Consider the following 16,429-nt stretch of genomic DNA (forward strand, 5'->3'; position numbering starts at 1 on the left):
AACACCAAAAGCAATGGCAACAAAAGCCAGAATTGACAAATGAGATCTAATTAAACTGAAGAGCTTCTGCACAGCAAAAGAAACTACCATCAGAATGAACAGGCAACCTACAGAATGGGAGAAAATTTTTGCAATCTATTCATCTGGCAAAGGGCTAATGTCCAGAATCCACAAAGAACTGAAACAGATTTACAAGAAAAAAACAAACAACCCTATCAAAAAGTGGGCAAAGGATATGAACAGACACTTCTCAAAAAAAGACATTTATGCAGCCAAAAGACAGATGAAAAAATGTTCATCATCACTGGCCATCAGAGAAATGCAAATCAAAACCACAATGAGATACCATCTCACACCAGTTAGAATGGCGATCATTGAAAAGTCAGGAAACAACAGGTGTTGGAGAGGATGTGGAGAAATAGGAACACTTTTACACTGTTGGTGGGACTGTAAACTAGTTCAACCATTGTTGAAGTCAGTGTGGTGATTCCTGAAGGATCTAGAACTAGAAATACCATTTGACCCAGCTATCCCATTACTGGTATATATCCAAAGGATTATAAATCATTCTGCAATAAAGACACAAGCACATGTATGTTTATTGTGGCACTATTCACAATAGCAAAGACTTGGAACCAACCCAAATGTCCAACAATGATAGACTGGATTAAGAAAATGTGGCACATATACACCATGGAATACTATGCAGCTATAAAAAAGGATGAGTTCATGTCCTTTGTAGGGACATGGATGAAGCTGGAAACCATCATTCTTGGCAAACTATCGCAAGGACGAAAAACCAAACACTGCATGTTCTCACTCATAGGTGGGAATTGAACAATGAGAACACTTGGACACAGGAAGGGGAACATCACACACCGGGGCTTGTTGTGGGGTGGGGGGAGTGGGGAGGGATAGCATTAGGAGATATATCTAATGTAAGTGACGAGTTAATGGGTGCAGCACACCAACATGGCACATGTATACATATGTAATAAACCTGCACGTTGTGCACATGTACCCTAGAACTTAAAGTATAATAAAAATAAAATAAAATGAATAAAAACAAACAAACAAAAAATTTAAATTGCATTTTGTCTAAACAAAATGCACATGGTAGGCCGGATTTAGCATATGGGTTTTTGTTTGCTATTTACCTTTAAACTATGCTGAAAAACTTCTATTTTATCAAATTCTGACAATCCTTTATGATATTACATTGAAGTTCTCCTGGATGACTCTGCCAAAGGTGGCAAATTCATTTTTGCCAAGAATTTAAATATGATTTAATTACTTAATATGGTGATAAAAGTAGGGGTTAAAGTCTAATATGCTCTACTAAAGGGTCAATATTTTTGTAAATTCTCCCCTTTCACCTTAATAAATGTAATCTTTTTATTATTTTGACTTAATATGATACTCGTATTTTAATACAAAAAGAAAACATTTATATTTACATTGATAAAACTAACTTCCAGTAATATGAGTCACATTTATCCTTTGACTTCTCACTGCTTCTGGCACAGCATCAAAAGCTTAAATGTGGCATGGCTCCTGGACTGAGAGCAATGGATAACAGCTACCATATATATAGCATTCACCATTATGTATTCCATATAAATTACAAAACTGACAAATTGTATTGAAAAGACAAAGGACGAAACTTTACATTTTTGGATAATAGACAAAAATCTTTAAATCTCACTAAATGAACAGTAATTCACTCATTCTATAGAGAAACTCGCTCTGGTTCAGAATATGGAACCCTAAGGAGAATTAGCTGGCCAAAAATAGAATGGAGAATGAGTTTCAGTTCCAAACAGAAAACATAAGCAACTTTTAATTATCGACCCACTCCTTTATTTGTGGAATAGTGTTGCACTGATTATTTAATTGCATAGCATTCCATTCATTTTCACAATGCTCATTTCTCTGCAAGCAGTACAAAAATAAAATCTTCAGTTTAAATTTTTGCTTGGATTTTCTTATCCAATTACTTTAAGAATCCCTGCAATGATGACTATGGGCCAAGAATTTTAAATGACATTCTATATATGTACTTGGAAAGAATAAAAATGATGTTTCTCATTACTAAGAATTAAGCTGAATTTGTTTTGCTTTAAAATGGTTTGTTTAGAGCGAATTATATAAGAAGAGTAGTGGCTTGAGGACTCAGCTTCATGTACATGTTTCAGTACTTTCAGTGAGACTTCTTCCGAGTTTATGGCAATGACAGCTTCACCTATTCCATAGCACGTTGTCTTCAGAACTTTCAATCACAGGTCATTAATTAACTTTAGACAGAAATTTCACTAAAGTATAGTTAATTTCCTACCTATTAAATACAGATGGCTTGACTTATGATTTTTCAGCTTTTCAATGATGTTAAAGTGCCACACATGCAGTAGAAACTTAAATTTTGAATTTTGATATTTTCCTCAGCCAATAATATACAGTGTGATATGCCTTAGGCATGCAGAACAGTGGCAGTGAGCCTCAGCTCCCAGTGAGCCACGGATTCATGAGGGTAAACAACCAATACTCTACTGTGGACTGAGGTGCCCATGTTTTTCGTGTATTGGGTTTTGTGTTATTGGATTCCATCGTGTCTACAAATGCTCACTGGTGTCTCCTGCTTCTGGTGAAAAGAAGAGAAAGGCAATTACTTTGGAGATGAAACTCAAAATAATAGCCCAGCATTAAGGTGACAAGCCAGGAATGGCCATGGCATATGAATGAAGACATATGCAATCCATGATCCTGACCATCCATAAGGATATGAAGAAAATCAGTTATGCAGTAAAATCATCAAAATGGGTCAAAAGAGCTGGACTGATTGATGATATGGAAAAATTACTTGTTACATGAATGGAAAATATACAAGTTTACATTGTTTAGTCTACTCACAATCCAGGCAAAGGCAAGAAGTCTTTTTGATATGCTAAAATAGTGTGCTGATGTTCTAATGTATATAAAAATATTTATAGCATGTCTTGAGTGGTTCTAACACTTCAAAAGGTGTCTTAATTTTCATAATGTAAAGGACAATGGTGAAGCAGCAGATGATATTACTGAAGGTGCCAAAGCTTTTAAGGAATAACTGCATAGGAGAATTGTGGATGAGAAATATTTGCGAGAACAAATGTTTATTGTCAATGAAATTAGCTTGTTTTGGAAATGCATGCGGGAGCATACATACATCCATTAAGACTCCAAGACAATGCCAGGATTCAAGGCATTCAAAAACCCTGGAATTTTGTTTTTGGGTGGAAATTTAACCAAGCTCAAATTAAAGTCTTTCCTAAGCTATCACTTGAAGGGCCCTAGAACATTCAAGAACCCTAGAGTAAGCATACACTTCCCATTTATTATTATCATAACAAGGAAGTCTGGGTTATATTAGCTTTGTCTGAAGACTGGTTTATGAACTGTTTTGCTCTGCAGCCAAGAGAATATTGTAGGCAAAACAACATCTCTCTTGAGATTCTTCTGATCTTGCACAATGCTCTGGGCATCCATAGCACATCACTGGTGACATGTATCCTAATGAAGATTGTGTATTTGCCACTGAACACAATCACACTCATTTGACCAATGGACCAAGGTGCAAGAGCTGTATTCATATCATACTATGTACACCGAATATTTTTGCAGGCTGCTAAAATCACTGATTCTGGTCACATTTTGAGTTTGGGAAAGATTCTAAAGGCTATCTGGAACATTTCTGTAACATAGAATGAGGTCACACAGTAATGTTATTTGAAAGAAAATTTTGAAGACATGTAATACATTCAATGACAGTAAGAAAGATTCTGCTGTTGATAAAACGGTATCATGTTAGTAGTGCTTGGGAAAGAGCTACAAATGGACATCAATGAAAAGGATATTCATAAGCTTGTTGGTACTGAGGCTGAAGAACTGTCCAAAGAGCAGCTGATCAATTTGGAGGAGGAAAGAAATAAAGAACTTGAGGAAGAGAAAGAAGTTATATCCGAACCACCAAGAAAATTTAGAGCATAAACTTTTGCAGACTCTGATAAGGAGATATAGGATACACTTGCTTGGTATAAAGAAATATATAAAGAACAGAGGAAATATAAAATGTACAAACAAAACTTGACTATCTTCTTGAAGAACCATCAAGTGTTGATGCCTCAGCATCTTCTACCAGGTATTCTTAAGCCTCATTAGAAGAGAGAGAAATGGATGACTCTATCACTGTAGCATCCCAATCATCCAGCAACTAACTCTAATCTGTTGCTTCAAATATTCTTCAGGCCTAGTGTGCTTTCAGCTGTGTATATTAATGATGAGTACCTATACATGGTACCAGTATATTAATGGTAAGTGCCTATACATGGTGAGTATCGATATCAGTCCATTGCCTGTTAGGAACCGGGCTGCACAGAAGCAAGTGAGCAAAGCTTCATCTGTATTTATAGTTGCTTCCCATTGATCGTATTACTGCCTGAGCTCTGCCTCCTGTCTGATCAGCAGTGGCATTAGATTCTCATAGGAGTGCGAACCCTATTGTGAACTGTACATATGAGGGATCTAGGATGCATGCTCCTTAATGAAATCTAATGCTTGATGATCTGTCTCTGTCTCACATCACCCCAAGATGGGACTGCCTAGTTGCAGGAAAACAAGCTCAGGGCTGCCACTGATTCTATATTATGGCAAGTTGTAAAACTATTTCTTTATATATTACTATGTAATAATAATAGAAATAAAGTGCACAATAAATGTAATGCACATGAGTCATTCCTAAACCATTTTCTCCACCCCCCCCCACCAACCTGTCACAAAATTGTCTTCCATGAAACCGGTTCCTGGTGCCAAAATTTTGGGGACCACTGACCTATACAACTATTCTACTTTTCACTCTGAGTACAGTATTTAATAAATTATATGAAAAATTCAACACTCTATTATAAACTAGTCTTTGTATTAGGTGATTTTTCCCAACTCTAGGCTAATGCAAGTGTTCTGAGCACAGTTGAGGTAGACTAGGATATATGGTAGCTTAGATGTATTAAAGTGTATTTTCAACCTAAAATATTTTTAACTTATGACAGGCTTATCAGAATATAATCTTGTTGTAAATCAAGGTTCTATTTACTATCATAAATAACATGATCATAGCCTAGGAATTCTCATTATTTCACACTTGGTAGTACCATCTTCAAAGTTTCTTTTTTCTTTTCTTGGACATTTTTTTCTTTTGTTTGTATTTGGAAAAAAGAATAGCTCTTTTCTGTGATACCTCCTAGGCTGCGTCTTTGAAGAATACATGACTTGATTAGTTATTTAGTCGAAAGAAAACCATGAGCAAACAAAATTAACTCAAATGGCATGCGGTGCTAATGAGCTTGCTAGAATCACCATTTTATTATTTGCTGTAGGGATAGAAAAATTCTTAGGGAAGGTGTTTGGGGACAATGTGACAACTGAGATGCCCACTAGGAAATGTTCATGTGAATTTAACAAATAGAGTTTTATTTAGTGTTAAGTAAACACTATATAGAATGTGATTCCAGCTGAGGTTTTATTTTTTATTTTTAGTTCATACTGTTTCAATTTATCATCCTTGAATTCAGTAATAGGTTCAATGACATTGCTCACCAAAGATTTTAACGTTGTTGCAACTTTATGGGTTTGCTACTTTTATTTCAAACATTCTCATTCAGAAGATATAAAACGTTTAGGATTTTTAGAATTTTTTCTGCAACAAAATATTGAATTCTAATGATTTGGAATCCCCTTCTTGAGCTGGCCATCTATTTGGCCAGTTATTTTCTATTAATCAACTTAATTCTGTTGTTATTTCAGTAACTAAAATATAGAAAAGCAGATTTCTATGAACCAGTTTTAAGTGGTAGCTATTAGAGAGCTAAATTAAATTACAATAATATATTTGTGGAATTAAAAATAATTGAAAATGGGTTTTAGCATGAGCAACTCTAGGTACTCTCAATTTAGCTTCCACTTTCAAAACAGACATATGCATCAATACTTCCATGAGTACAAACTGGTACATGTGCATCAGGGAGGATACTTTGATAAATACAATGTTATAAATAGACACCAAGCACATTACAGAATGAAATAAATAAAATAATACTTTTTGGTATAATAGTCTATAAATACACCTTTTATTTGTAAGAGCCATATTAGAACTGAAATGAAATGGATAACCATATTGGTGTGAATTAAAGGCAGACATACAGCCTCCTGAATATTGAATAAATATTATTTTATATAAAAATTTTAAATGGGAACTAATATTACACACAAATAATGTAATACAAAATAAATGGAATATAGTTGTATTGAATCGTAGAAGGGCATGAGAAATTTAAGATCTTTACAAAACTCATATTTTACATGGTAGATTGTATTAAGATTCTATTTTAAAACCTTATTATTTTTCTATTTTAATGAAATGATAAACTAAGACTTATATACAGTTTGTGGTTTTTCCGAGCTATATCATTATATAGGATTAAAATCAGAACAACCCGAACACATGCATTCTTGTCCAGAAACATTTAAAAATTATGTTGGTCTAAATGTTTCTTTTTCGAGGATTATGAAATAAGTGTTCTCAATATAAATTGTATCTTAAACTAAAAATACTCTGAAACATCATCAATACTAGAATATTTCAGAATGAAGTACAATAAATTGTAGGAGATTAGCACTAGCACAAGATAACTTTAATAAAATCACTGCCAATGTCCTCATTGTGAATCTACAATTTAATAACTTTAATACGTAGTTTCCTATAGTGTTAAATACCTTAGCTATTAAAAATGCTATAAATATGCACCTTGTTTTCTTAATATGAACTTAATAATGCATCCAAACAAGTGTACATGATTATTAAGAAGGGTGCATATGTATGCAAAAATATTCAGAAAGTGCATAGGAGAAGGAAAGTAAATGCTACACCAAATTCAAATTTTAAATGGAAAATATCATGGAATATATCTATATCAATATAGCTATATATGTGTATATAGTCACATTTGTATCTATATTTATATCTACTTATGTATATATATATGTGCATAAATGCACAGCAAATCACAAACACATTTTACAGCTTTGATTCACAATATTCATAGTTTTGTTTACCTACATTATTAATTTTCTCAGTTCCCCTTTACCACCAAACACATAGCTACTACTATAAATTCACCTCTATTATCAGTTAATATGTAAACATAAATCAGTTATTTATTGATTATTATACTTCCTGTTTGTTATCTTATAAGTGAAACAACTAATGAATTATCATTTATCTTTTCTTAAAAATCTGAAAATATTTTATATTATGACTATAATGTAATTTTGATTATATTCTTTATTTCTTGCAGTTGGCTTTGTGGAGAGTCTATTCAATTAAAGTCAAAATAAATTGTTATGGACTGAATATTTGTGTCCTCTCAAATTTATATGTTGAAGGCCTAACTCATCAATGTGACTGTATTTGGATATGGGGCTTTTATGGAAATAATTAAGGTTAAATGAGGTCCACTGAAATTAGGGTTATTACAAAAAGAGACACATGAGAGCTGATTTGCTCTCTCCACAGGCACAAAGAAGAGGTCATACGAACACAAAATGAGATGACTGCTATCTATAAGCCACAAGAGTTGGCCTCAGAATGAAATCTACCTTGCCAGCACCCTAATTTTGGACTTCTTATCCTCCAGAACAAATTTTTATTGTTTAAACCACTGGGTCTGTGATATTTGTTTGGCAGCCCAAGCTGACTAATACAAAAGTAAACACACATAAAGAACATAAAGTTAGAGCACTAGGAACACTGTCCTCCCCACATGAGACTTGGTGCACAGTCAATGCATTGCAGTTTCTGAACTCAAAGAATCAGGTCCCTAAGGCCAACCATAATCTTTGCATTCTGCATTCCCAGCCTTGATACCTCCATCTGAAAACAGTATTGTCTTGGCCCTTGGCAGAGGCTTCTCACCAAGATGTCTTCATGGTGGGGAAGGGGAGGATTTTGAATACATTTTTCCCTACTCTGACTTAGTACTCAGTACTTTTTCCAGTACTAGTCATTTTACTTTCTCTCTCCCTGGCCCCCAGGTCCATAAAATGGCCGGAGTGTTTTGTCCAGAGCAGCCTCAGCAGTGAGGCGTCTCCCCATTCCACCCCACCAACGTCTGTAGTGATAAACCTGACTCTCATCTGGCACTAGTCCTGAACATTGGTGGAGCTGGCACTTTCTCATGTTGCTTCTACTATGGAAGTAAGTGATTAAAGACTTGACTGTTATTTTCATTTTGGCTTGTCATCTTAATTGACTAATCCAACACATGGTACCTCAATTTGCTCCAGCTCAACTCAGCTCTTGACAATTTATTTCTTTAAAAGTTTCCAAAACATCTTTTAAAATATATTATTGACTCTAGAATCTGTCATAACAAAGTATTTCTGTTACAAATTTATAGATTAAAAATGATATATATTCAACCACATGTTGTTATAGTGGAAATTTTTACTGATTTTTTTATTAAGGTTTTTCTTAGAAAATGATAACTATATATATATATATATATACACCCAATTATGCTTAAAGTTTAGAAAACATATATTCAATAAATAACTCAAACATGCAGATAAATGAAAGTACATTTGTCAGAGAAAGCTAATTGTTTCCCATTTTGTCATTTTACTAACTTATGAAAAATCATTAAAGGGAGAATTCATGCCTGTTTTGATTCTTCTGTCTTATTGAAAGGAATGACCATTGAATGACTGGTGGCTAAACTTGAGTCACCTATTTTAAATATAACCATGAGTGTGACACACTATGTGTAGAAATGCTGATAAAAGGAGGAGGCAGACTCTTTGAACACACAGTGAAACCACCATATCACTATTGGACTGCATACTATTCATCGCTGGACTTTTTAAATTGTAGAATTGAAAGCATTTTGAAATTATTTTTATTAGAATTTTTGGTCTAAAGATGAATCTAAATCTCTTTCATTCACACACACACACAAACACACACACACACACACACAATAAATGTATACTGTGTTCGTTCATTCTCGCACTGCTATAAAGAAATACCTGAGCCTGAGGCTGGGAAATTTATGAAGAAAAGAGGTTTAATTGGCTCATGGTTCTTCAGGTTATAAAAGAAACATGGCTGGAGAGGCCTCAGGAACTTACAATTATGGCAGAAGGCAAAGGAAAAGCAGGCACAACTTTCATGGCCGGAGCAGGAGTAAGATAGAGAATCGGGAGGTGCTATGTCCATTTAAAAAACCAGGTCTCTCATGAGAACTCATTCACTATCATGAGAACAGCAAGTAGAAAATCTGTCCCAATTATCCAACCACCTGCCACCAGGCCCCTCTTCCAACGTTGGGGATTATAATTCAACATGAGAGTTGGGCAGGGACACAAATCCAAATCATATCATTCTGCCCCCGGCCACTCCCAAATCTCATGTCCTTGTCACATGGCAAAATATAGTCATCCCTTCTCAACAGTCCCCCAAGTCTTAATTCATTACAGCATTAACTTAAAAGTCCACAGTCCAAAGTCTAATTTGAGACAAGGGAAGTCCTTTCTGCTTATGAGACTGAAAAATCAAAAACAAGTTAGTTACTTCCAAAATACAATAGGAACACAGGCATTGCATAGATACTCCTGTTTCAAAATCAGCCAAAAGAGAGGAGCTCCAGGATTCCAGCAGGGCAGTCACTAACTCTTAAAGCTCCAAAATAATCTACTTTGACTCCATGTCTCACATTCAGGCCACACTGATGCAAGGAGTGGGCTCTTAAGGCTTTGGGTAGCTCTGCCCCTGTGGCTCTGCAGAGTTCACCTCCCATGGCTGCTCTCAAGGGCTGACATTGAGTGCCTGCAGCTTTTCCAGGCACATGGTACAAATTGTTGGTGGAGCTACCACTCTGGGGTCTGGAAGACAGTGGCACTCTTCTCACAGCTCCAATAGGAAGTGCTCCAGTGGGAACCCTGTGTGGAAGCTTTAACTTCACATTTTCCCTTAAGACTGACCTAGTAGAGATTCTCAATGAAGGCTTTGTCCCTGGAGCAGGCTTCTGTCTGTACATACAGGCTTTTCCATACATCTAAAATTTAAGCGAATGATCCCAAGCCTCAACTCTTACACTCTGTGCACCTGCAAGATTAACCCCATGTGGAAACTGCCAAGGCTTACAGTTTGCACCTTCTGAAGCAATGGCCCAGTCTGTACTTTGGCCCGTTTTAGCCATGGCTGGAGCTGGAATGGCAGAGATGCAGGGAGCAGTGTCCTGAGGCTGCACAGGGCAACAGGATCCTGGGCCTAACCCAGGAAACCATTCTTCCCTCCTAGGCCTCCAGCCTGTGATGGGAGGGGCTGTCACTAAAATGCCTTCAGGGTTTTTTCCCCATTATTTTGTCTATTAGTACTTGACTTCCTTTTAGTTTTGCAAATTTCTGCAGCCTGCTTAAATCCCTCCCCTGAAAACGGGTTTTTCTTTTCTACCGCATGGCCAGCCTGCAAATTTTTCAAACTTTTATGCTCCACTTCCTTTGTAAGTATAAGTTCAAGTTTTACATCATTTCTTTGCTCACAAATATGAGAATAGGCCTCTAGAAGCAGCCAGGGCATTTCTTGAACACTTTTTGTTGTTTAAAATTTTCTCTGCCAGGTACCCTAAATCATCACTCTCAAGTTTAAATTTCCCCAGATTCCTAGGCGGGGGCACAATGCCTCCAATTTCTTTGCTAATAGATAACAAAAGTAACCTTTGCCCTACTTTCCAGTAAGTTCCCCATCTTCATCTGAGACCTCCTCAGCCTGGACTTCATTGTCCATATCACTATCAGCATTTTGGTCACAAAAACTTAACAAGTCTCTAGAAAGTTCCAAACTTTCCTTTATCTTTCTGTCTTCTTCTGAGGCCTCCACACTCTTCCAACCTCTGCTCCTTAACCAGTTCCAAATTTGCTTCCACATTTTCAGGTGTCTTTATAGCAATGCCCTACTCCTAGGTAGCTATTTTCTGAATTAGTTTGTTCTCGCACTGAAAAAAAAAAAAAAAAAACCTGACCAGGTGTGGTGGCTCACGCCTGTAATCCTAGGACTTTGGAAGGCCAAGGCAGGTGGAATGCCTTAGCTCAGGAGTTCAAGACCAGCCTGGGCAACATGGTAAAACCCCGTCTCTGCTAAAATACAAAAAAATTAGCCAGGAATGGTGGCATGTGCCTGTAATCCCAGCTACCTGGAAGGCTGAGGCAGGAGAGTTGCTTGAACCCAGGAGGCTGATGTTGCAGTGAGCCAAGATCATGCACTTCAGCTTGGTGACAGAGTGAGACTCCATCTCAAAAAAAAAAAAAAAAAAAAAAAAAAAACCAAAAAACCTGAGCCTGGATAATTTATACAGAAAATAAGCGCAATCCCTATCAAAATACCTTACCTATTTTTCACAGAATTAGAAAACAATCCTAAAATTCATATGAAGCCAAAATAAGCCTGAATAGCCAAAGCAGTCCTAAACAAAAAAAAGAATAAAGCTGGAGGTATCACATTACCTGAATTCAACTTACATTACAAGCCTATAGTAACCAAAATAACATGGTATGGATATAAAAATACAAACAAAGATCAATGAACAGAATAAAGAACCCAGAAATAAAGCTACATAGTTGTAGCCATCTAATCTTCAACGAAGCAGATAATAACATGCACTGGGAAAAGGACACTCTCTTCAATAAATGGTTTTTGGAAAATCGGACTGCCATATGCAGAAGAAGGAAATAGGATCCTTATATCTCAAACAAGAAGTAACTCAAGATGGATTAAAGATTTAAATGTAAAATGTGAAACTATAAAAATACTGCAGAAAAACATAGGGAAAACTCTTCTTGACAGCGGTCTAGGAAAAGAATTTATGACTAAAACCTCAAAAGCACAGTCAACAATAACAAATATAGACAAATGGGACTTAACTAAACTAAGCAAATTCTTCATGGCTAGAGAAATAATCAACAGAGTGAAGAGACAACCTGTTGAATGGGAGAAAATATTCGCACACTATTCATCTGACAGGAGATGAATATCCAGAATATACTAGGAACTCAAAACAGCTAAACAACAACAAAAGCATAAATAATTCCATTAAAATTGGGCACAGGATATGAATAGACATTTTTCAAAAGAAGACATGAAAATGGCCAACAGGTATATGAAAAAATGGATAACATCACTAATCATCAGAGAAAGGCAAGTCAAAACCACAATGAAATATTAACTTACCCCAGTCAGAATGACTATTATTAAAAAGTCAAAAAAATAACAGATGTTGGCGAGAATGTGGAGAAAAGGGAACTCTTATACACTGTTCATGGGAATATAAATTAGTACTTACTCAAAGGAAATGAAATTTTCTAATATAATAATTTTTTTGCTATTATCCTTGACCAGTCAGACATATTTTATATAACTATTACATTAGAAAGATACCTGCACTTATATGTTTATTGCAGCACTATTCACAATGAATCAACCTAAGTGTCCATCAACAGGTGAATGGATAAAGAAAATGTGTTATATACATGCAATGTAAGACTATTCTGCCATAAAAAAGAATGAAATCATGTTCTTTACAGCAACACAGGTGGACCTGGAGATCATCATCCTAAGTGAAACAAGTCAGGAACAGAAAGACTAATGTAACATATTCTCACTCATTAATGGGTGCTAAAAAATGTATTCTCACGGACGTAGAGAGTGGGATAATAGATAATGAAAACTTGGAAGGGTGAATGGATAGGAATGGGGAGAAGGATGTGAAATTAGTGGGTACAACATACATTATTTAGATGACGGATGCCCTGAAAGCCCTGATTTGAGCACTGCGCAACCTACGTGTGTAATAAAATTGCACATATAACTCATACATTTACACAAATTTTTGAAAAGCACTTATAATAATCAAATCTCTACCTCCCCCTTCTCCTCCTAGACCTCCCCTGTTTATGGGAAGGTGAAGTAATACTTTTCCTAATACCACATAATTTCCTAGCAAAACTTTTACATATTCCATAAGCTGGAAAGAACAAATACAAAACTTATACCTAATATAAATGCTTAAGAAAAGAATATCATTTATCAGTGAAAACTAGCAATGTTTATCATGTAAAAGGTTTTATCAGTGGATTTTTCTGTGGTTATATTGTAGTTACTATTTTTTCTTATACTGGAAATCTAAATAGTCATAATCCTAAAAAAGATGACTTTATAAAGTAGTTTATGCAGATGTCCCAATTCTAACAATGATTAAAAATATTTTTTCAAAAAATAAACTATGATTTAGCAAGCATTATTTTATTACAATCATACTCTTAAAACACTTTAATTAGACATTTTAGCTATGTGTAGACTACATCATTACAAGCATCAATAAGTAAATTTATTTAAGAGCAATGTTTTGCTTTATGTGAATTAGAGCTTCTGAGCATCAGTATAACAAATTATTTTTAATAAATGCTTAAGACTGTGTTACTTGTTTTAAATAATGATGTCAATTTATTTTATTGTCATGATGATGTAACATATACAATTTTAATGAATGCTGAGTATTATGTTTACTGTTGTTATAGTTATTACATTCTACATCTGAAAACACTATGTTGTACTTCATTGTTTGCTTGTCTTTTGAACAATAGCCTTATTCTTTTATATATATTTATTATCAAAGTCATTAACTATTACGATATGATCTTTTAATATATGGTTGCTAAAGTAGTATATATTAATTTTTTAAAATACATAGGAAAATAAAGAAATTTTTTTTAGTTTTATGAATCACACAGTGGTGAGAAAGATAGAAATTGGAAATAAAAGAGAAATAAAATATGCATAAAGGTAAATTCAATTTTAACTAGGCATCCAGAAAAAAATCACAATATAAAAAATGCACGGAGATTTTCTTTCAAAGTTTAGTTGATAAGAATTACAACATCAACTTTTTATAATTGTTTTGATCCAAACTAGATAATTTGGAGGTGGAAGTTTAGTTATATAAAATATGTCTGACTGGTCAAGGATAATAACAAAAAAAATACTAATGTAGAATTTTTATTTCATAGGATTTAAAAGGATATGTTGGCATTTTGGCATTAAAGTATAAATTAAAGGAAATATAATATTTGGAGATGCTGAAGTGGAAGGAACTGATGTGGTTATGTCACTGAAAATTAATCATGATAACTGAATGTATCAACATTTTTTTCCCTACCATCTCTTGACATACCAACTAAACTTACTGTTCTATAATTTCATCCCTACATTAGTGAGTCTTCAGCTAATATTTGTATTTTCTGAAACAGAATATGTGACTCAAATCACTAGAGAAGCAATGTAAATATGGTAATAGATGGAGATATGAAAATTTGTTAATTTTGTCTAGCTTTTATCTTAACATAAACTTCATTTTCATGAACTAAACATGCATGGATATTCTACTTTCCCCAAGGAAATACAAAACACTCTAGCCCTTTAGTCTATATCTTGACTTCAAACTTTTAGCAGTGATTAGGCATAAAAATATTTTACATATGTCTAAACTCTACTAGGACAAATTTTATCAAGTACAATGCTGACAACTGACATCCTCATGTCAGGGAGAGCACAAAGAGATGTACAAAGTTGAGACTAGAGGGAGCATGCCTTGCTTAAAAGGCAACAGTTACTCACTTCCTACCAATTTTTACCTTCAAAGAGTTTTGGGTCAGTGTTGTCAGATATTTCAGTTTTCAAGAGAAGCTGAAAATCTGGATTCTAATGAGAAATATATGAAATTTAACACTGGCAAGTGTTTCTTAATCACTGAACATAATACTTGCCAATAGCCTACCCATCACAGAAATGATTAACAGCATGCTCTTGCCTGCTTACAACAAATTTATGACCTGTTTTAGTGTTGAAAAGTATGTTAACACATATTATCTTTTAGAAAAAATCTTCACTGTAAAATATTTTATTGGTTATTCCATTCCATATCCCTTCCCCCACCACCATGTCCATGTTTTGAGGTGAAACAAAGGCTATGAGACACTAGATATATTGTCTAAGCACAAAACATGTAAACTAGTAGAGTCAGGACTTAATAAAATCAACTGTTCTGATTTCATAGTCTATATTTTCCCATTGAAATACTTGGTTTTAGACAAAATATTTTTGGCTACGTACATTCATTTGTTTAAAGGTGAATTGGACAAGGTATGCCAATTACCTCTGTTCCAGTGATCTTTCCTAACAAGTACTTCAATAAATATATCATTAATAGTTCCAAAACTACAAGACTATCTCAACTAATCACATTACAAAACTATTACAATATTTTTACAACAACCACTAATAATATTACAACTATAAAATTATTACAACAGCAAAACTACTACAATTATGTAAATAAGCATTTGCTACACTCACAAATATATATAAATAGTATATATATATATATATATATAGAGAGAGAGAGAGAGAGAGAACATATACTAAGTTATTTAGTGATATTTAGACTCTGTTGAGTCCGAATACATTCTCTTGATTTTCATTTTATAATTTAATTTATCTGTACTTATATAGGTTAATGATTGTCAGAAGAAGAGGAGAAGGAGCTGCCTTGAGGGTTAAAGAGTTGTAATGATTTTTCACTTGTCCCAAGTCTAGTAAATTAAATGAACAATATTTTTGAGTCTCTGTGACAACAAAAACTTCTACTATCTTACTTAATCCTGTGTGACTGGGTTATTCATTATTTTGTGTCAAATTTTCATGAATGGATTCAAACATTTTCCTCATTTAGACTGCAGCCTCCCATTTTGTCAAATTGGCAGACTCTTCTGACACACCCTATCAAAGATTTAAAACAACTTTTGTTTTAATCCGCTTTGTCTATTGGTGCCTTCATCACTTGGTCTTTTAATATCATTAAAATATTAATGTGTTATGTAGTTTTAACTGTTTCCAAGGGCCTTACAAAAAATTTTGTGAACGGATTCTTTACTTGTGACTGATAAAACACAACTATATGCTCTTCTCTCATATGTTCACAGCTAATTAAACTTTGTTTCATTAATACTATAATATTTCTTAATCATCTTGCTCTACATTTTTCAGAATAATGACTTTGTTGTCACCACAGTAATCTTAGGCACAGTTTGCTCTGGTGTGCATCCCAAATGTGAACCATGATCTTTATGTTGTGTCTAGCATACAGCTTTTGAAGACTTAAAAAATCAATTATTAATCATGTCCTATATTTTAAAAGTCCTATCGTGACATGGATCCTTTGGAAATTTTTCTTTCAGGCCCCCTGAATTCTAGGCCTTCTTTTCGCACTCACTGCTAATCTACATTCTATCTCTG

Source organism: Homo sapiens, chromosome 13 (genome assembly GCF_000001405.40).
Source record: "Homo sapiens chromosome 13, GRCh38.p14 Primary Assembly".
Lineage (NCBI taxonomy): Eukaryota > Metazoa > Chordata > Mammalia > Primates > Hominidae > Homo > Homo sapiens.